Source organism: Homo sapiens, chromosome 1, assembly GCF_000001405.40.
Source record: "Homo sapiens chromosome 1, GRCh38.p14 Primary Assembly".
NCBI lineage: Eukaryota > Metazoa > Chordata > Mammalia > Primates > Hominidae > Homo > Homo sapiens.
This window is the reverse complement of record NC_000001.11, coordinates 201,358,914-201,378,939: the sequence shown is the minus strand read 5'-3', so window position 1 is coordinate 201,378,939 and position 20,026 is coordinate 201,358,914. Positions and strand designations below refer to the sequence as shown.

Here is a 20,026-nt window from a genome sequence, read left to right as displayed (position 1 = left end):
TGGCAGTCCCCTGCGCAGAGGACCCTTTCAAGGACATTAGTGGTGGAGGCAGCATAGTAGCTCCCAAGGCAGAGGGATTGAGAGAAGAGTTTGAGGACTGGGAAGGCGGGACACATGATTGGGTGATGGGAGAAGGGGGCAGAGAATAGCGAGATTGCTTTCTTTGCCCACGGAGAAACAGAGGAGTGTGGATCATGAATGGGCAAGATCTTTAAGTGCCAGGGGGGGTCATGGAGGAGGGGAGGGCCTGCTCCAGAGGAGGACCATTCCTGCTTCAGAGCCAAGCAGGACCTAGGCTGTGAAGATTCGGAGAAAGAGATGGAGGGGAGAGTCAGCTCAGCTGCTTACTGGCTTGCTTTCCTCCTGTCTCTTTCATTTTCATAATCTACCAAACCCTGCAATGGGCCAGCCTTGAACATACAAGTGCATGTGCATGGTCAGACACAGGCAAGCAAGCAAGACCCCTAGGCCTGACCTATGCATCTGCAATCTAGTAGGTTTAGCAGATCATAGCCCCGCACTGCTTGATTTTAAAGCCGTTAGGGGATGACCTTTGACAGTCCGCATCACCCCTCTCACACAACGAGCGCCTGTTCAAGGTTCTTGACTGGAAGTTCTACCTTGTATCTGGCCTCCTGTAGCAGTTTCAGTCCATTCCCTGTGAGGAGGGTGTGCCACATGGCTTTGGGGGTCATGGAGAAGACCCACCTTGCAGATGTCCTCACTGGGGCTGGCAGAGCCGGCAACCTGCCTAAGGCTGCTCAGTCCATTAGGAGCCAGTAGCCTGGAAGATGTCTTTACCCCCAGCATCAGTTCAAGTGGAGCAGCACATAACTCTTGCCCTCTGCCTTCCAAGATTCTGGTGCTGAGACTTATGGAGTGTCTTGGAGGTTGCCTTCTGCCCCCCAACCCTGCTCCCAGCTGGCCCTCCCAGGCCTGGGTTGCTGGCCTCTGCTTTATCAGGATTCTCAAGAGGGACAGCTGGTTTATGTTGCATGACTGTTCCCTGCATATCTGCTCTGGTTTTAAATAGCTTATCTGAGCAGCTGGAGGACCACATGGGCTTATATGGCGTGGGGTACATGTTCCTGTAGCCTTGTCCCTGGCACCTGCCAAAATAGCAGCCAACACCCCCCACCCCCACCGCCATCCCCCTGCCCCACCCGTCCCCTGTCGCACATTCCTCCCTCCGCAGGGCTGGCTCACCAGGCCCCAGCCCACATGCCTGCTTAAAGCCCTCTCCATCCTCTGCCTCACCCAGTCCCCGCTGAGACTGAGCAGACGCCTCCAGGATCTGTCGGCAGCTGCTGTTCTGAGGTAAGGCTCGGGCAGGGCTCTGGGGAAGAGGAGAGCAGAGAATGGACGGGGAGATGTGAGGGTCTTGGGCCCTGGCATATTTACCCAGAGTCTGCCTGTGTCCGCAGAAGTCCATGGCCCCTCCTGGTGGAGGCCACACTTCAGAGGACAGGTTGCCAGGTCTGGGCTCCAAGATTGGTACAATAGAGCAGAGAGAAAGAGAGAATCCCATGGTAGCCATTGGAGACTAGGGTTGGAGTCCTGGACCTGCCACTAAAGATGTAGAGTTTAAACTCTTGGATGAGTCACTTTCCCTCCCCAGGCCTCAGTTTTCTCATCTGTAGAGTGGGCTAAATATTTGCTAGGCCTCTGCCTGCTCTAAATACAATGAGGCTCTAACCAACAGAGACTCCCCTAAATTGCTTGTTCCAGGCCGAGGGTCACCTATACCTTTCCAGTCAGGTCCTTCTTGAGTCCCAGGGAGCAGAGCGAGACTGCAGCCCTGTCAGTCAAGTGAGTCTCCTGGTCATATTCTCAAGGCTAGGAACTCAGAAACTGTCCTGGAAGTACTGAGAACGACCAGATGTGCAGGGTCCTCTGCAGCGCCTCTCCAGGCCAACGCGGGAATTCCATTTGATGCCGCTGACTCAGTGCCATTCCCTCCCAGAGCTGAGCTGAGCTCCCAGACCCTGAGCTGAGCTGCACTTGGGGGGCAGATGGGGAAAGGCCCCACTGGGAGAACCTGTCCTTGGGTGTGAGCCCAGCTGGTTGGCATTAAAGGGTTTAACCTGGGCCCCCGTAAGTGTAACCCTTGTCCCATCCCACCCCAACACCCCATCTTGGGACAAGCCTTGCTCTGTGCCCAGGAGTGGTAGAGAAAGATTCCCTTGGTTTCTAGTTTCTCCTGGGCAGGCTGAGGACTATTCAGGGAGGGGGTTGCCTGGTGTGTAAGGAATTTCAGAGCACATTCCTGGCCTGCTGTAGCCGGGAAGCTACCTGCCCTCCCAAATTCCTTTTCTGACCCATGTCTTAGAGGGCGAATCTTCCTTCTCTCTGCAAAAGTGGAATCTGAGAGGATCAGGTTGCTGGCTGCCTCCTATTTCTGACCCCCACTTCCACTCTTCCTGCCCTCTCCCCATCCCCTTACCCCCGCTCTCCTGGTGGGCTAACAGCTGTTGGCTTAGGAAAATCCCATTCGAGTGCTGGGGACAAGGACTGAGGGGTGGGGCCTGTGTTTCTCAGAAACTCGGAGACTGTTTCTACAGGGACAGAACTCAAGGCTCTCCTGCTTTGTAGTTGGTTAACTGAAGTCAGAGAGGCTAGGTGACTTAAATAAGGCCACACAGCAAAATCTGGGTTTTAAGCCCAGATTTTTTGACCCCAAGGTCAGTATGCCTTATGCCTTCTATTGTCTTTGCTTTACTCCCCAAGAAAGGTGACCCTGTGAACGTGTTAGGCTTCCAACACGTGTTGGCTATGAATGCATTAGGCTAGAAAGCTGCCTGTGGAAGTGGGTGGGACTTGGGTGTGAGGACACAGGTGTTTCAGGACATTCTGGTTCCTTGCCCTGCCAGGTTCTTGACTCTCTCCCATTCTGCAGCCCCCAGTCTCAGCCCACCTCTTTCCCCTGCATCAGGTCCTGCCTTTGAGCCACTGGCATGGTGGTGTCCTCTGGGCTGGCTGAAAGCCCTCCTCCATCCTGCATGTCTGCATGCTATTTTTGGGAGCTGGATGGTGCCCCCAGGAACAGGGAGAGGAGTCCAAGCTGCTCTGTCCTCCTGTGAGGCCCCAGCACCATGCCCAGTGGCTCTGAACTGGTGGAAGGGCAGAGTAGGAGAGGAGAGAGAAAGCTAGAAGCTATGCGCCCAGGCTGGCCATGCACGGTTCCTCTGAGAATTTTCTCCCTCCCACTGAGGGACAAGCTTCTCCTGGGGCTCAGGTAGGAGCTCCTCAAGTTCTCAAGTCACTAGTTCTGGCCGCTCCCCTGGGGCTTTGGGTAACAATTGTCAGCCCCACCCATCCTAGGGTTAGGAAGGCTATTCTCTTTGGCCACTCTCATCCTAAGACCTATTTGGAGAACCTCTGGGGTTTGAGTCTTTTTTTCAGCAGAATGAGGCTTGATCCCGCATTATAGCACCTCGCACATTTGATGTCTCTTCTTCTCACCCACTCACCCCACCCTGGGGGTTGGGGCAAAAAAGTGGCTCAGAGCTGCGGTTCAGAGCTCCTTGTAAACAAGGCTCCTCCCTCACTGTCCTCACCCTGCTCCAGCAGAGGGAGCAGCGGAAGGACCACTCTGCTGCAGCCATGCTTGTTTCTAACCCAGCAGAACTGGACATAATGGGAACAGGGTCTGAAGACAATCAATCCAGGGCTGCAGTGGGTGCTGAGTCTGGGGAAGCCTCCACCTGGAGGGGCAGCTGGGCAGTGGCAGCTCCCTTGGAATGGCTCAGCCTCTGGACATCACCCCACCCAACCAGAGCCCTGGCTCTTGCTGGATGTCCACAGATGAGTGCCTGGGATTGGTCTCAGCCACTATGGGGGGGATGTGCAGGGAGAGGTGATGAGGGAGTGAGCAGGACTGTCTATGTGCCTCTGTCCTCATCCTGAGGCTTGGGTCTGAAATTGGTGCTGCAGCACTGGCACGCGTGAGTGGGGCAGGAGGTGGGCAGCAGGGGAGGAGCATTGGAGGGTGGTCCTGAGCATCATTTGGATTCTTCTCCCGCCTCACTTTAGCCTCACTCTCACATCACCCTGTCCATTCTCTCCCTTGGAAGCCAACATCAGGAAGGCTGTGGAGCTGGCATATTGCACTATAACAGAGGCTGCTGTTCACGTTTCAAACAACGTGATTGTGTCCCTGGAGCAGTGCACTGTCATGGCCCCGGAGGGTTGGGTCATAGTAGTTATTAGCTGAATGCCTACACTTCACACTACCTCTGTTCCTCACACCTACCCAAGAAGAGCAGTAATTTCACAGCAAAGAGAGCTGAGATGTGGGGAGGTTAAGTGACCTTGCCAAGGTCGCAGGCAAACGCATGCTGGAGCCAGCATTCAAAACGAGATTAGTCTCACACTCAAGTGCTTGCTCTCTGCCCCCTCCCTGTGATTACATGCTCATTGTAACACCTGATGTTGCCTAATGCCTTCCCCTTTTGTTAATGTCAACTGGAGCCTCGTAAAGACCCTGAGTAGCCAGGATGTGTACACTTTATCTCCATGAGACAGAGAAAGGACTGAGGTTTGGAGATGTTAAAAAGACTCGCCTAAACACCCTCGGCAAGCTAATGGAAGAGGATCTGAATCTAGATTATCTGTTCCCAGTGCAGTGAGAAGATGATCTCAGAATGAGTTCCCTGGGGGAACATTTTTTAATCGGAATTTTCATTGACATAATTAAAGACTAGTACACAGTTGTCTTTAATAACGAGCGTTTACACACGGTGCCTAGTTTCTCCCGAGGGCAACATTTGCAAAATTAGTACTATATCAAAACCAAGATTGGACATCAATACAATCAATCTATGATCTTATTCAGATTTGCCCACAATTGCACCATGTGTATGTGAAACTCTAAACAACTTTAACCTGTGGAGGTTCACGTATCCATCACCACAGTCTACATACTGAAAAGATCCCAAACCACAAGGATCCCCGCTGTGTGCTTTGATTTATTTATTTAGAGACAAGTTCTCACTCATTTGTCCAGGCCAGTCTCTTGGGGTGCCCAAAGACCTTTTGTCCAGGTCTCACTTTTGTCCAGCACACATGGAATGGGTGTGGTGGCTCACGCCTGTAATCTCAGCACTTCGAGAGGCTGAGGCAGGAGGATCCCTTGAGCCTGGGAGTTCGAAACAGCCTGGGCAATGTGGCAAAATCCCAGCTTTACTAAAAATACAAAAATTAGTCGGGCATGGTGGTGCACAACTATAGTCCCAGCAACTCAGGAGGCTGAGGTGGGAGAATCGCTTGAGCCCAGAAGGTTGAGGCTGCAGTGAGGCTTTGTGCAGTGAAGATTTGTACAGTGCTGAACAGATCCTGTGGAGTGGGGGTGGGCAGAGTGGATGGAAAGGTTGAGAAACTGCAGACATTGTCTTGAGTGTCACAAATGGAAATGCAGCATCCCAGGCAGTATTGCCTGTTCAGGGGCAAGGAACGAAGTGGACATCAGCAGGTGGCCTTGCTGCCATGTGGGTGTCACTATCTCCCCCAGCAGGGGAGAAAACAGGCTTTTTGTTGCAGGTCACACAGCTCATGAGGGGTGGAACTAGATTCACCCTAGGCCTCGCTGATCTCTGTACAACGGGGGCCAGAGCTCTTCTGAGGAAGGCAGGCTTCCCTTTGTACCTGCACTGACTTTTTTCTCCTTTTGGAGGGAGAGCAGAGACCATGTCTGACATAGAAGAGGTGGTGGAAGAGTACGAGGAGGAGTGAGTATCTGGAGCATCTTGCCTGAGTGGGGTCCTCTCCCGCCGCTGCCCTGACACCTGGTCCAGGAGCCTCCCAGCTGTCCCTCGGATTCTGGGTAGAAGTAGCTGTGTGTGTTTTGGGCACCCCGAGGAGAGATATAGCCATTTCCTTTCCACTCCTGTACCCCTGGGTTGTAGATCCCAGGCAGAGCACAGGCCGAGAGACTTCGGGAAGCACAGAGGTTCAGCTCCAGGGTCATCAGTGTCCTTGGCCAGTCTTGGCTAGGGGCCATGAACAGAGAAGCTGAGATGTTGGGTCTCCTGAAACTGACTGAGGAAGGTTCAGTGACTCTCCAGAGGCACAGAGCTGATTATGCCCCCCAAACCCCAGCTCAGAACCCAGTGTTATCACCCTGTCTTGGATCCCTACTCTCTCATGACAGTGCCCTGCCCACAGTCCTATCCCAGAGGGAAACCAGGGGGTGGGACACAGCCAATCCAATAACTACAGAGGATAGTGGTCACCAGGGAGGAGACAGAGGTATAGGCACGGCTACTGCCCTCACAGAACTTACTCTTGTTGAGATGTTAAGACATAAACTGGGAGAAGAAATTAGCAACTGGGGGCCTGGTGTGGAGGGCGGGCTGTTGGTAGTGTAGGAGTTCTGAGGAGAGGGAGATCAGGGGCTGGAATAGTCAGGGGGCTGTGTGGAGAAGGCAGGTCTTACCTGTGTAGAATTTGGAAAGATAAGAGATTTGGGAGAGGGCAGGACTTTCTAGAAAGGGGTACAGCTTGGGCAAAGATGGAAAGAGTAAGTGAGCAGAACGCTGGTGAGACCAAGCTGGCTGGGGCGGAGGCTTGCGGAGGATGGTAGGAGGCAGCCCTGCATGAGAACGGCAGGCCAGGCTAGTGGGTGTCATTGCAAGGTGGGCAGGGCAGCGTGGACTCCACTAGGCAACAAGGGAAAAGAAAGGGGGATTATCTTTGGGGAAAGGCCAGTGTGTGCATGTGTGTGCAGGCGTGTGTGTTTGCATGTGCTTGTGTGCGAGCTACTGACAGTGTTTCCTGTTGCTCTCAGGGAGCAGGAAGGTAAGCGTAAACGTGTGTACTCATTTGGATCAAAGACAGCCTGGTTCGAAACTGACCCACCTCTTCTCTCTTCTCTTGCTGCCTGGACTTCTCTTCTGAGCAGAAGCAGCTGTTGAAGGTATGTGCCTCAGGCAGGTGGAGAGCCAGAAAGGGGCAGGCTCAGCAATGTGGAAATCCTGGGAGCCCTGGGAAAGCAGCTCATCTGTCCCTGCTCCTCACTCTCAGCTGAGCAAGATCCTCCAACAACAGTGCCTTCTAAAATGGGAATCAGTCCTACCTGGGTTGCTCGGGTCTTGAGGCAAACGATTTAAACCTGTCTCTTCTGTCTGCCATTTGCTTCAAACACACTGATCACTTTTCCCAATTTTTTTTGCTTCTTCTCCCTTTTATCATGGGAAATTTTAAATGCACATAAAGGTAGCAATAATAATAATAATGGCCCCCCCTGCCCAAGGTACCCATTACCAGCTTCAACAATCATCATCTTAGGGCCAGTCTTCTTTCCTCTATACTCCACCTTCCACCAGTTATTTTGGAGCAGACATCCAAAATTGTTCCCAGGCACCATGTCAGTTCACGCTTCAAGATTTCGCTACACCGTATCTCTAAGAGATAAGCACTACTTAAAAACCATAACCACAATGCCATGATATGCCCCAAAAGATTCCATTTAGTAATTTCTCAAATGCGATTGTGAGTATGAAATTGCTCAGTGATCTGAGACGTCTTATCTCGGCATGAAGATTTGTCATGATTCTGAGCTTGCAGAGGCCCCTCTTGCTGCTCCTATGCTGATCGGTTAACCCATCGCCCTCCTCAGCTGTGGGTCCCACATCTCCCTGAAAGAACGCCCTCACCTTCCCTTCTTCCTGAGAGCTTGGCACATGGAAATGACTCAGAGGCTTCACTCCAGTCCTCCCCCTGCACCCCAGGCAGGTGGACCCTGCCTTTTAGTGGCTCAGGTATCACTTCAGCATGTGGCATGTAGATATTAGGAGAAGGGTCTCTATGAAGGTCCAAGGGGGGAGCCCAGGTGGCCCCGCCCTTGCTCCCCATGGCTCCTAGGGAAAATGGGGACCCTCCTGCACATTTAGGGCTGTTCCAGGGCTGTCTGGCCAAAGAGGAGACAGAAGAGAAATTCACAGGAGAAACTGAAAGAGGCCACAGGCGTCTTTTTTGGTTTTTAAGGAACACCAGATACTTCAGAAGCTATCAGAAATATATTTTTGAATAAAAAATCTAACTGGCTCCAAATTCTGCTGTGTTCCCTGAACAGACTCTTGATATGATATCCCTTCCTTTGTTTTGGAGGATTTTCCACTTCCTTATAACAGGTTTAGGGTGGTGGAGTTTGAGACATAGATCTCTGGATTTGGGACCAATCTGCCTGCCACACACAGTAGAATTTGGCTGTGAGTTAGCAGAGTCATTCTCCACTGTGCTGGGGCCTGAGCCGTGTAGCATCTGCCTTGCTTGCCATGAATAGACGAGACTTGCCTCCCACACAGTTGAGGATCTGGCTGCAAATGATCAAGAGAGAGCAACGTCTAGATGGGTGTCCACTAAGCCTGCAGGATAGATAATGCCAGGTGTCCTTCTTCCAGGAGAGGAATTGTTCCACTTGCTGGAACTGTTTTTTTGGGCAGATATTTGTACGTAGAACAACTGTTGTAGATGCAGCCTCTTTCCTTAGATTTATAATGCTGGACCCTTCTTAGATGGGGCAGCATCCTCCCAACAGGCCGGGCAAATCTCCCCTGGGGCCAGGCTCTCCAATGAGGCTTTCTAAAGTGTGACTCCTGGAAACTGGACATAGTTTGCAGGATACCCAAGAGCCTCATTCAGAGCAGGAACATGGGCAGGCTCGTTGAGGGCAGGAAATTTGATGGAAGAGAATTGTCCCCCACTCTCTGCTCTTTAGGGGCCTCTGTCTTAGTAAGAAGGAGGCCAAGGCTCTGTCGTCTAGAGGCATTGCAGTTACCACAGATCGCATGCTCCTCTTGTGCCAGGCACCTGCTGGGCGCTCTATGCACGCTAGGTCATTCAGTCCTCACCACGGCTGAGAAGTGAGTAGAATGATTCCCATTTTACTGATGAGGCACCTGAGGCTCAGGGAAGTAACTGAGAGTTGCCCCTGTTGCTGGAAAGTAGTGGCTTGGGAATTGGAATGCCGGCCTAACTCCAAAGCCCACACTCTTAAAACCACTGCGCTGGGTGGCTGCTCCTGCCGCGGGCTCTCTGCTCCCAGACTAACCTGTCTCGCTTTTCCCCTCCGCTGCGGCCACTCCCTGAACCTCAGAAGAGGAGGACTGGAGAGAGGACGAAGACGGTAGTACAGCCTTTCCTTCTGTGGTGCTTTCTGCTGCCTGCTGTCCCAAGTGCAGCCTCCTTGTCCAGGGGCCCTGTTCTGGGGGCTGGGGGGTGTGAGTAGGCGGCAGGGACGGAGTGGGTCAGTCGTTTCCTCCCCTGCCTCCCAGGGGCCAGGATCACAGTTCCAAGCTGATCATCATGCCTGAACTTCAGGGCCACTGGCTCCTCTTCCTGGTTCCTGGATCCTTCCCCTGGGTTGGGTGGTGGGAGGGACCAAGGCTAGCTGGTCTCCCAAGCTGCTCCAAATGTGGCCATAGAGGGGACCTGGCACCTGGAAGACAGCAGCGCCACCCTGCCCCCGCGCACACCCCAGTGTTCCATGCTGGGCCCTCCTTAGGAGCTGGACAGCACCAAGCAGGGTGGCCAGGTGTTGGTTGGGGGGTCTGGGGACAGAGTCCTCTGGAGAGCAGCCAGGGAGACTGGAAATAGCCAGAGCAGGAAGGACATGACGTCAGCCTTCAGATGCGCCCTGCTGATGGGGAGCACAGGACCAAGGCAAGGGAGTGAGACCAGGGCTTAATTTTAGAAAGTGCGTTCTGACAGCTATATCTCAAGATGCAGTAGGTGGGTTGGGGAGGCAGTAAGCTCCCCATCCTTGGGATGTTGCATGGCCACTGGGTGGGCTGGGGTATATTATATAGAGAAATGACACGTCAGATGAGGTGGCAGAGGTGTGAACAAGATGGCCTAAAGGTAGACCCCACAATGGCCATGTCCTTCCTCGCTAGCCCTCTGCTTTCACACTTTCTAGAAGGATCATTTTGAGGTAAGACTCCTGCAGGGATCAAATAAAAGGCATCTCCAGGCTTCAGAGAGGACTCAGACCTGGGAAGGGAGGACAGAGGGAATGAAGGCCAACCCTTCTCCCACGATGGTGTCTTCCTCCTGTCTGAGGTTTTTCTTCTCCCTCTGCCAAGAGGCACCCACTTCCCAGTGCATCAGTGAACAGGCATCACAGAACACTTCCTACAGGCACAGCCCAGGCCAGGCGGCATCCTGTCTCCCTTATCTGTTTGTCTGTCTGTCTACACCAAGTGCCTGAGTGAGATGGGGGCCACATCCTGCCAAACAAATAGATGAAAATAGAAAAATCCTGCCCACTTTCTGGATAGTACGAAGATCCAGATATTGAGTGTGCCATCCAGCCACACAGTCGTACTCTTTTGGTTTCTTTGAGATGTGGATTGAGGGTGTCTAGAGTCACTAGGTTCAGGACAGGAGCTTCTGGACACCTCGGCTTAAGCAGAGCATGTTCTGTGGTGCCAGACACGGGGTGGAACTTCTGGGCTGGAAAGTTGGGGAATGAGGTGGAGTCCCATCATCAGGGAGGTTGCCGGGATGAGTGGGGCTAAGCTGGGTGGCGGGAGGTAGCCGACAGTCAAAACCAAGAATGGCAGCCCCCCAGCACGTTGGTTGCCCCCAAATTCATCTGGACCTAGACGTCTTGACCCCCATCCCCACTCCCCGCTGCCCATTCTCTGCTCTGGGTTCTGCCTGATAGCATGAGTGGGGCCTGCTTCTTCACTCTGTCTGCTTCACTTCTCCAGAGCAGGAGGAGGCAGCGGAAGAGGATGCTGAAGCAGAGGCTGAGACCGAGGAGACCAGGGCAGAAGGTAAGTCTCTGGTTGAGGGTGCAGGGGCCTCAGGGGGTGGCGAGAGCCCCTGGAGCCATTCCTGAGGCAGTAAGAAACCCCCCAGAACAGGCTTTCCCATGTGCACCTGACTCTCCTATTGACTAAGATTCAACCATTGATTGCCCAATCAACAAACGTTGACCCAGCGCTTCTCTTGTGTCAGGCAGTCTTGGGTCCAGGGGAATGTGTGTGTGAGAGACAGCTCTGTAACCCCAAAAACCAACAGAGTGCATCTTGGCTAGGGCTTATCTGTGGGGAAGGCTCTTGCTGGTGGCGGAGGGGGGGACTTGAGCTCAGAACAAGGACCTTGATTGATTTCTCGTGTTTCATTTAGAAGATGAAGAAGAAGAGGAAGCAAAGGAGGCTGAAGGTAAGGATATCAGGAGAGAGGTACAAGGGAGGCAAAGGAACCCCTCACAGCAGCTTTGGAGGAGAATGCCCACAGTGCTCTTTCCAGGGAAGTGGATGTGCACTGAGAGGGTTTGGGAGAGGAGAGGACAGAACTTGGTGGCACTTCCAAAGTTTTAGATGTTGAGCTTTCAACTTTGCCCCTTCTCCCAGAGAAGTTGCATTGGTGGCACCCAGTGGGAGAGGGGACCATTGTCCAGCCCCCTGGTCTGGACAGAGCAATGGGACCCAGAAGTCATATCCACACATGAAGCTCCTAGAGCTTAGGTGAAATCACTTGTAGGATGTGGTGTCCGTAGGATGAAATCCCAATGCATAGATGGTCATGGTGGGTCATTGCTGCAGTCATCGTCATGCTGCAGCCTTCACCAGGGTTCTAAGTGGTCCCAGTCACTTCTCCAAAGGGGAGGGGACAACCAGCTGGGGCTTGGAATCATGTCATCAGCTTCTGCCCTGTGGCCACCGGGAAGTCCAAGGGGTAACAAAGAAGGCAAAGACCTGGGAGGGGATTCTAGGGCCAGGACCCTTGGGGACCTTTCCAAAGGCCTTGTCACTGTGAAGCACAAGAGAAGCAAAATTGCTTTGCCCAGAACTGGTGAGTGAGAGAAGGCTTTGTGTGAAGTTCCACACTGCGTGAGTGTGTGCCCTGCAGAACTCTATGGGAGGGGGAGTGTGGCATCTGCAGCCCCCGCTGCCTTCATTCTCCTGGATGCTTCTGGAATCAGGGCTCCCCAGTGCCGGGAGGGACTCACTGTGCAGATGGGGAAATGGAAATCCACAGGGATCTAGCTCATCGAGGGCGGAGTTGGGACCACTTCTGGGGCCCCCTGACCCATGGCTGTGTGCTTCTATCTCCTCCAGATGGCCCAATGGAGGAGTCCAAACCAAAGCCCAGGTGAGTGGGGAGGCACCTGGGTAGAGCCGGGAGCAGAGGCTCAGGGAGAGAGGATGATGATGGAACGGGGTGCAGTATGGTGCAGTGGACACGGGCTGGGGGTTTGGTGGGCACAGAGCACCACAGTACAGTTGTACAAGTTGTGTACTGCACAAGCGTCTCTTCCTAAGGGAGTGAGTGAGGGCTGAATTCCACCCAACACTCCATCACCAATCGTGCACCCTAGCAGGGATGGGGCTATGTTCTTCTAGAGGAAGGGCCCTGAACGGACACTCTCCTCTCTCACAGTATGGCCAGAACACCCTCCTCCATGGCCGAGGTGGGACCTTGGGATTAAGGGAAGCAAATTGTGGGGAGCCAAACAATGAAACCGTGCCAGCATAGGCATGGCGGCTTCAGAGAGCTGAGAGAGGGCAGGACGGCTTGGTGCCACACACGTGAAGCCCACCTGAAGGTGGTGTGTGCTGGGGGGGGCTGGGGGATAGGGAGCATTTCCCTTTTTATGATGCCAACCCTGCCAGCAGAGGTTGACCCATGGCACCTCTGCCCACTCACAGGCTCTTCCCATTTCAGTGGGGCCTTCTGAAACCAGCCCAAGACATCCCAGATCCATTTATTTGCCCAGTGCCTTCCCCCTTCCTGGCCTCTTGTGCACTGCGGTATCTCATTTCAGCTCCACACACCTGAGGGCAGATGGGGACATGAAGAATCAGAGAACCCCCTGGGTCTCAGTATGTGTTGGGACCAGGACCAAACTGCAAGACTCCCAGGTTCATGGCCAGTTTCTGCGGGGTCCACCAGGGGATTTGAAGTCCAAGAAGCATGGCATCTTGTCACAGCTTCTTTGATTCCAAGTTGTGTGGCTTTGAGCAAGTCATTCTACCTCCCTGAGCCTCAGTTCTCCTAAGTGAGATTAACGGTACCCACTTCATGGGCATATCATGAGCATGAAGTGAAATAGCATATGTGAAAGAGCTTTGTGTATTCCCAGGTGCTGAGCAAGGCTGAGGACTGCCATTGTTGACGTCAGTGTTACTATCATTGCTGTGGTTGGTCGGGGCAGTGCTGGAAGATTCTCTAGGAAGGATCAGGGCCCTGCCTGTCCTGGACACCCTCAGTCCCTGGGTCCAGAATGGGGCTGATGCTGACTATTCCTCTCTCCAACAGGTCGTTCATGCCCAACTTGGTGCCTCCCAAGATCCCCGATGGAGAGAGAGTGGACTTTGATGTAAGCGGTGGCTGTGGGTTGAGTAGGCCTGGGCTGGGGATAGTCCCAAGGGCCCTCAGTGACAGAGATTTTGTGACCTTGGGCTGGGGTAGAGCATAGGTGGGATGGGGTGCAGCACCAGCCAGGCTGGGTGCCCATCCATGAGCGTGGTCCTGGGTTCAGGCCACAGTTACCCCTTCCCTGGCCAGGCGCCAGGCCCTGCCAGAGGTCTTTTGCACTGCGTTGGGGGGTGTCTAGCCCACCCATCTCTCCTCTGGACTCTTTGGAGTGGCAGCCTCTGAGCCGCAGCGGTCCACCCACAGGACATCCACCGGAAGCGCATGGAGAAGGACCTGAATGAGTTGCAGGCGCTGATCGAGGCTCACTTTGAGAACAGGAAGAAAGAGGAGGAGGAGCTCGTTTCTCTCAAAGACAGGATCGTAGGTGTCCAGTCTGCCCACCTAACATTCTCTGATGGCCCAGTCTGTCCTCCATCCCTTTTGTGAGGCCCCACCTCCTCCAGACAGCCTTCCTCGGCGCCTCAAACCCAGCTAGGTGTGAGGTCTCCTTCAGAGGCCCTCCAGCATTCTGCACAGCTCCTGCAGCCCTGACTGGTTTCTCGGGTCCCTGCCTTCCCTCCCCATCCTACTGGATGCTCCTTGACTGCCAGAGCTGAGTCTGATCTGTTTCAGGCCTCCCCCAGGGCCTAATTCAGGCCCGGGCTGTGGACTGATTGGTCACAGGCCTGCTGCGCCACCCCTGCCCTTGCCTCCTCTTCCCCCGCAGATGAAGGGGAGTGTGACCTGCAGAATCCCACATCCTTCTCCTGCAGAGCGTGGAGGCTGCTTTGATTGCTTTTGTTTCTCCCCATCAAACTTGCCTTCCCACAGACATGCTGCTCTGGCTGGAGCAATGACTTGGCCATCTATCCAAGCATATGGCACAGAGCAGCTGCCAGGGCAGGGTGGGATGGAGGTGGGGGCAGAGCCCAGAAGGAGCCTGCCTGATGTCTCCCAGTTGTGGAGGGCAGTCTCACCATGAGGAATGTTGGAGGTGGGTCACTGCAGGTACCCTGGTGTGCACGTCCGTGGAGCTGGTTGAAAGTGGAGGCCCTTGGAGGCCGGGCACCATTGCTTCAAGACTCTGGAAGGAACCCTCCCCCAGGAATTCCCTTGCCACCCCATGCAGGTTTCTGTACCTGCGATGTCACCTTCTCCCTATGCACACCTGGGTGGGCTTTGCCTCTTCTCCTTAGGAGAGACGTCGGGCAGAGCGGGCCGAGCAGCAGCGCATCCGGAATGAGCGGGAGAAGGAGCGGCAGAACCGCCTGGCTGTGAGTGACCCCTAGCCCAGGCCCATGGAGGCCCCCCATGCTCCCAGCTCCTGCTGGGCCCCCAGGCCCCTCTCTATTCATCAACATGAATGAAATCAGTCAAGAGACAATATTGGCCGGGTGCGGTGGCTCACGCCTGTAATCCCAGCACTTTGGGAGGCCAAGGCGGGTAGATCACTTGAGGTTGGGAGTTCGAGACCATCCTGACCAACGGAGAAACCCTGTCTCTACTAAAAATACAAAATTAGCCAGGCGTGGTGGCACATGCCGGTCATCCTAGCTACTCAGGAGGCTGAGGCAGGAGAATCGCTTGAACCCAGGAGGCAAGGTTGCAGTGAGCCGAGGTCATGCCATTGCACTCTAGCCTGGGCAACAAGAGTGAAACTCCAACTCAAAAAAAAAAAAAAAGGAAAAAAAAGAGACAATATCAATATCAACCTAGGAAGTGCTGGGCATTGTCTTGGCTCTGATAATACATCAGCAAACAAGACAGAAATGCCTGCGTCCTTATGAACGTGTTATTTTATAAGACTCTCCAGCCCTCATCCCTTCCCCAGTGCAGACTTCGTGGGAACCGAAGGCCCCGTAGCTCTCTTCCTGTGCAGCTGCTGAAGGCATTTCCAGAGCAACAGGTCTTCCAGGGGCACTCCCAGCTTAAGGGGATGACGAGACCTCACATTTGGGAATCAGGACCTCATTCAATCACGCAGTCATTTCTCAGTCAGTGGACTCCTGTGGGCCAGCACTGTGCTGGGAGCTACCCTCTCAGAAAGCTCCTTGCTGAGCGGAGAGAAAGCTGAACTCACCCATAAAGACCACAAGCTTCAGCCCAGAATCAGGGTTTCCAATCCTTTCCCCTAATTTGCTTTCTTCCTCCCTGCTGTAAATCAGGAAGAGAGGGCTCGACGAGAGGAGGAGGAGAACAGGAGGAAGGCTGAGGATGAGGCCCGGAAGAAGAAGGCTTTGTCCAACATGATGCATTTTGGGGGTTACATCCAGAAGGTAGGTAGGGAGCAGCAGGGGTTGCCAGGAGATCCTAGTATAGCCCTGAGGAATGAGGTGTCCACTGCAGCAGGTAGACTTTAGGTCAGGTCCCAGGAAGAGATTCCCAGCTGCTGTGGGTGGAAGACTGAGGTCTCCTCATGCCCAGCCCTGAGCTGGTTTTCAGCCTGACCGCGGCTTGCACTAGGAGGGGCTTGCTGGGGTAGGGGGCTACAGGCAGAGCCTGGGGCACCAATGGTGCCCCCCATGCCTGGCTCCAGCAGTGCTCAGGAGCCCCCAAGGAGGCTGGGTGCAGCTGGAAGAGCCTTGTGCCTAGAGTCAGAGCTCTAGTTGGAGACCCAGCTCTGCCACATACAGTTGTGTGACCTTTTGCAACCTCTGAGCCTCGGTTTCCTCAACTGGCACTCATATTGCCTGCCTTGATGCTTTGAGAAGCTCAAATGAGCTACCATGGAAAGTGTCTATGTGCCACACAGATGTGAGGTTGTTTGTTCCTGGAAACTCACTCTCGATCCCTAACTTTTGTGCCCCATTCCTCCTAGGTCCTCCATTCTCGAGGGAGGAGGGATATGTGAAATTGATTTTCTCTAGGTAGTGAAGGAATCAAAACATTTTCTTAGATTTCCAGCTTAGTCCCTAGCTCAGGACTAGGCCACCCCCTGCCTCTGCCCCCATGGTGACCACACCAGCCAAGACTTTGGCATCAAAGTCTTCATGCTACCGAACAGCCCCTGCTGTAACCCTCAGACCCACGTCCTAGTAAACCCGGCTGACTACAGCGAGTATCTGAATCTTCTCTTCCATGTCTCTCCTTGCCTTTGTCTTCCTGCCTTCTCTCTGTGTCTCTGTTGCCGTCTTGGTCTTTTTCTATGGGCCTCTCTCTCATGGTTTCCCGGTTTAGCAGGCCCAGGTGGGTACCAAAAACCTCAAGCCTTCTTCCTCCCCATAGTTTTGGAGAGCTCCCTGGGAGGGGAAGGCGCCTTGCTGGAGGGGAGGAGTGAAGAGATTGGGCTGGCTGGGGAGGGGGGAAGCTGGTGAGAGGTGAAAGAGATTAGTTAGGCAAAGAAGGAAGAGACTGACGTGATCCTTCTTGCCCCTACCTCAGTTTCCCTAGGGAATACATGTAGTTGGTAGTTGGGGGGTGTGGCAGGAAGAAGAGCATAAGAACCTGGCCCTCCTGCAGGCCTTGCTCCACCCCCAGGGGGTTTGGGGAGGGTTAGGGGACAGGGAGGGGGCAATCTGGCCAGTTTACTCTGCTTCCCACACCCTCCAGACAGAGCGGAAAAGTGGGAAGAGGCAGACTGAGCGGGAAAAGAAGAAGAAGATTCTGGCTGAGAGGAGGAAGGTGCTGGCCATTGACCACCTGAATGAAGATCAGCTGAGGTGGGGGCTGGGAGGAATGGTCCTGGGGCACTGCCCGCATCTGCTCTGGGAGGGGTCGGGCCAAGGGCACTTCTTGCTGTGAGCCACCAGAGGGCAGGACTGCCTCACATATTTTCCCATGGCAAGTTTGGTGGGACCAGAGCTGGGCCCCAGCAGGTCGGGCCAACTCCTTTCTGGGCTTTGCTGATGGGGAAAGAGAACTGAGCAGGTGCCCCACCCCTCTGAGCTTCACCTACCCACCTGCACACGGGTGTCAGGACAGGGGATTGAACTAGATGCTCTCCTGCGCCAGAAGGGCTTCTCCTGCTCCCCGCTTGTTCTTGGAACTTTGCCCTGGCAGTCCCTGGTGTCCGTTCCTGAGCACTGGGTGCTGCCGTCTGGTCCCCAGGCTGGGTCAGGCCCAGGGGGTGGGCTGGGGTACCCTTGGCAGGCCTGGAGGTGGGAAGGAGGGCTGGGATGCTGGGGGCTGGGCCGGGACCAGGACGGAGGCCCAGGAGGGCCCTTTCTTACTGGACCTCCCCATTCTCACCCTTGCCCGTGCAGGGAGAAGGCCAAGGAGCTGTGGCAGAGCATCTATAACTTGGAGGCAGAGAAGTTCGACCTGCAGGAGAAGTTCAAGCAGCAGAAATATGAGGTGGGCCGCCATGCTGTCCCCGCCCAGCATCTCCATCTCACACTCCTCCTGGTTCACTGGGTCCGGTAATACTGCTGCAGGTCCCTGGGTCCCTGTCCCTATTCCCCAACAGCCCCCTTCAGCTCCTGCATCTGCCCCTGCTGCCTGGCCTTCAGCAGTGTTCCATGTCCACCGCATTGACGACTGCTTGCTGGAAGTGTCTGAGAGCTCGCTGGGGCTGAGCAGAGACACTTTCCTGGTGTTCCAACCCTGGGGGTCTCCAACACGTTGAGGCAGCAGCTCAGTGATCTGAGCTGGTTACAAGGACCAGGATGCACCAAGCCAGGACCCCCAGTGGAAGGGGAGTGCTGCCAACAGAGAGGTGCTTCTCCCCACATACACCCAAGGTCCTGGTGTGGGCACAATTAGGCTGAGCCTCAAGCTCACAGTCTTTCGGAGTCCTATGTGCACTAATGAGGGTCTTAGGTGAACAGACACCAGGCAAGGAAATGGCTTAGAGGACACTGATGCTGCATACCGGAGCTTAGACCTGGGCGCCAGTCCTTCCTTACCCACCACCCCCGAGCCCCGGTCCCAGGGCCTCTTTGCTACCTAAGGGAAGAATTCAGCTTCCCCTGGAAGGTCTCCTTTGCTGCTCCTGCCAAACCACTCCTCCCTGGGCAAGAAGCCCCTCGCTGGGCAGGCTCAGGCTGCAGTGGCTACAGGGTACTCCCACCTCCCAATACGGAGAGAGGCTGTATTGCCTGGTGACAGTGGCATGGACTTTGGAGCCATAATGCCTGGGTTGAATTTCTACCTGTGCCCCTCACTGGCTGTGTGACATTGGGTGAGTTAGTCCACTGTTCCTTGCCTCCATTTCCACAGGTAACACTACAATATACTTCAGAGGGTGATTGTGAGGGTTACAGAGATAATACTAATTGTTATTATTGCTATAGTGTTCCAACCACTGTTCCAAGCATGTCCCATGTATTAACTTACTATGCCCTCATAGCAGCCCTATGGGTTCATATCTGGGAAGGTGCTCAGGACAGAGCCTGGCACCCACTAAATGCTCAGCAGGTGTCAGCCATTGTTATGGCCTCTCTAGTCCTGTGCCTTCCACTTTTTTCTCTTTTTTTGGTTCCACACTGAACTCTGCACCGGCCAACAGGACACAGATTTGCCAAACTTTGGGGCAGCACCCTGCAGGGGTGGTGCATGGGGATGCTACTGCTCAAAGGGCACAGCTTCCGGGATGGTGGGCAGCTGGGCAGGGGTGCCCCAGAGGGGTCTGGGGCTGGGCTGCTAGGAGGGCTCCATGACACAGCCTCCAGCTTTGTGCCCAGCTCTCAGAGGCCCTTCTTATGGGACTCTCATATCCTGAACCTATTATGGCCCTGGGACCCCACAGTGGGAGGCCCATGAGGCATCCTGGAAGCTTCTCCTTGGCTTCTGCCTGTGGTACACGGGCCCCTCCTGACCCTTAACTATCCTAACCCCTCCTACTCTTCCATGCTCCTCCTTCTCCTCCTGCACTGCTGCACTCAGCCCCCTTCTCCCCATCCCCAGGCCACCTGGGACCTGAGCCAGTCAGCTCCAGCGTTGCTCTTTGTCCTTCCCACTTTTCTTGCAGATCAATGTTCTCCGAAACAGGATCAACGATAACCAGAAAGTGTAAGTGTCTGAGGTCATTCTCGCCTAGCCCTCCCCCTGCCCCCTCCTTCCCTACCTTCCAGCTATCCCATTCCTCCTTGGAGGGCCCCAGGCTCCCAGCCCTTCCTCCTCTGCTTCAGCCCACAGGTTTCCTTCTCTGGCTCCTCCGGGGCCTCGTGCTTCTCTCCCTGTGGCCTCTGCTTGCTGGTGGGGGTGAAATGTGGGGCGGAGAAGCTTCCCTCCAGCCTCAGGCTGCTGTCCTATTCTGCCCCTGGAGGCAGCTCCAGCCTGCTCCTCTCCCCTTTGGCACCCCAGTCCTACCCCAGCCGCATGGTGACCTACTACCCTGCCTGTGTCTCCATGTCACTGCGTCCTGCTTCCCCTGCAGCTCCAAGACCCGCGGGAAGGCTAAAGTCACCGGGCGCTGGAAATAGAGCCTGGCCTCCTTCACCAAAGATCTGCTCCTCGCTCGCACCTGCCTCCGGCCTGCACTCCCCCAGTTCCCGGGCCCTCCTGGGCACCCCAGGCAGCTCCTGTTTGGAAATGGGGAGCTGGCCTAGGTGGGAGCCACCACTCCTGCCTGCCCCCACACCCACTCCACACCAGTAATAAAAAGCCACCACACACTGACTGGCATTTCTGTCACGTCCCCTTCAGAGAGAGAGAGAAACTGAGGCGAGACCCTGCTCTCACAGGTCCCCGGTGTCTGCCAAGCTCTAAGGAGCTTTCC

The 20,026-nt window shown here is 54.6% G+C and overlaps 1 protein-coding gene across 21 annotated transcripts, besides 3 other annotated features; it reads left to right on the top strand.

The window, feature by feature from the left end:
- Nucleotides 754-1,291: an enhancer, noted in NCBI's record as "H3K27ac-H3K4me1 hESC enhancer chr1:201346777-201347314 (GRCh37/hg19 assembly coordinates)". NCBI's record gives its function as "activates a minimal SCP1, AML or CMV promoter by ChIP-STARR-seq in primed H9 embryonic stem cells {active_cell/tissue: H9 hESC(primed)}" and the evidence as "EXISTENCE:reporter gene assay evidence [ECO:0000049][PMID:30033119]".
- TNNT2 (troponin T2, cardiac type) lies at nucleotides 1,260-19,926 on the top strand. Of its 21 annotated transcripts, none has more exons than XM_011509938.3 (17): nucleotides 1,260-1,317; nucleotides 5,681-5,726; nucleotides 6,785-6,795; nucleotides 6,899-6,913; nucleotides 9,095-9,124; nucleotides 10,713-10,778; nucleotides 11,134-11,169; nucleotides 12,069-12,102; nucleotides 13,270-13,330; nucleotides 13,633-13,749; nucleotides 14,565-14,642; nucleotides 15,534-15,644; nucleotides 16,546-16,554; nucleotides 16,918-17,027; nucleotides 17,571-17,661; nucleotides 19,277-19,317; nucleotides 19,685-19,926. In XM_011509938.3, the coding sequence occupies exons 2-17, from the start codon at nucleotides 5,686-5,688 to the stop codon at nucleotides 19,728-19,730; spliced, it is 897 nt and encodes a 298-aa protein (XP_011508240.1). In that variant the 5' UTR covers nucleotides 1,260-1,317; nucleotides 5,681-5,685; the 3' UTR covers nucleotides 19,731-19,926. The 21 variants fall into 21 exon arrangements, with proteins under 21 accessions (XP_011508240.1, XP_011508243.1, XP_011508241.1 ...); XM_011509941.3 differs by having other exon boundaries at nucleotides 5,672-5,726; nucleotides 11,137-11,169; nucleotides 16,549-16,554; XM_011509939.2 differs by having other exon boundaries at nucleotides 5,672-5,726; nucleotides 11,137-11,169.
- Nucleotides 1,292-1,829: an enhancer, noted in NCBI's record as "H3K27ac-H3K4me1 hESC enhancer chr1:201346239-201346776 (GRCh37/hg19 assembly coordinates)". NCBI's record gives its function as "activates a minimal SCP1, AML or CMV promoter by ChIP-STARR-seq in primed H9 embryonic stem cells {active_cell/tissue: H9 hESC(primed)}" and the evidence as "EXISTENCE:reporter gene assay evidence [ECO:0000049][PMID:30033119]".
- Nucleotides 2,234-2,730: an enhancer, noted in NCBI's record as "ENSG00000118194_1:199611961-199612457 (NCBI36/hg18 genome assembly) insert fragment". NCBI's record gives its function as "drives selective reporter gene expression in differentiated C2C12 myotubes {active_cell/tissue: C2C12}" and the evidence as "EXISTENCE:reporter gene assay evidence [ECO:0000049][PMID:22144875]".

Coding starts and splice junctions, on each gene's coding strand:
- TNNT2 (XM_011509938.3), top strand. CDS start 5,686: ATGTCTGACATAGAAGAGGTGGTGGAAGAGTACGAGGAGGA. Junction 11,170..12,068: donor GGAAGCAAAGGAGGCTGAAG/GTAAGGATATCA, acceptor TATCTCCTCCAG/ATGGCCCAATGGAGGAGTCC. Junction 19,318..19,684: donor ATCAACGATAACCAGAAAGT/GTAAGTGTCTGA, acceptor CTTCCCCTGCAG/CTCCAAGACCCGCGGGAAGG.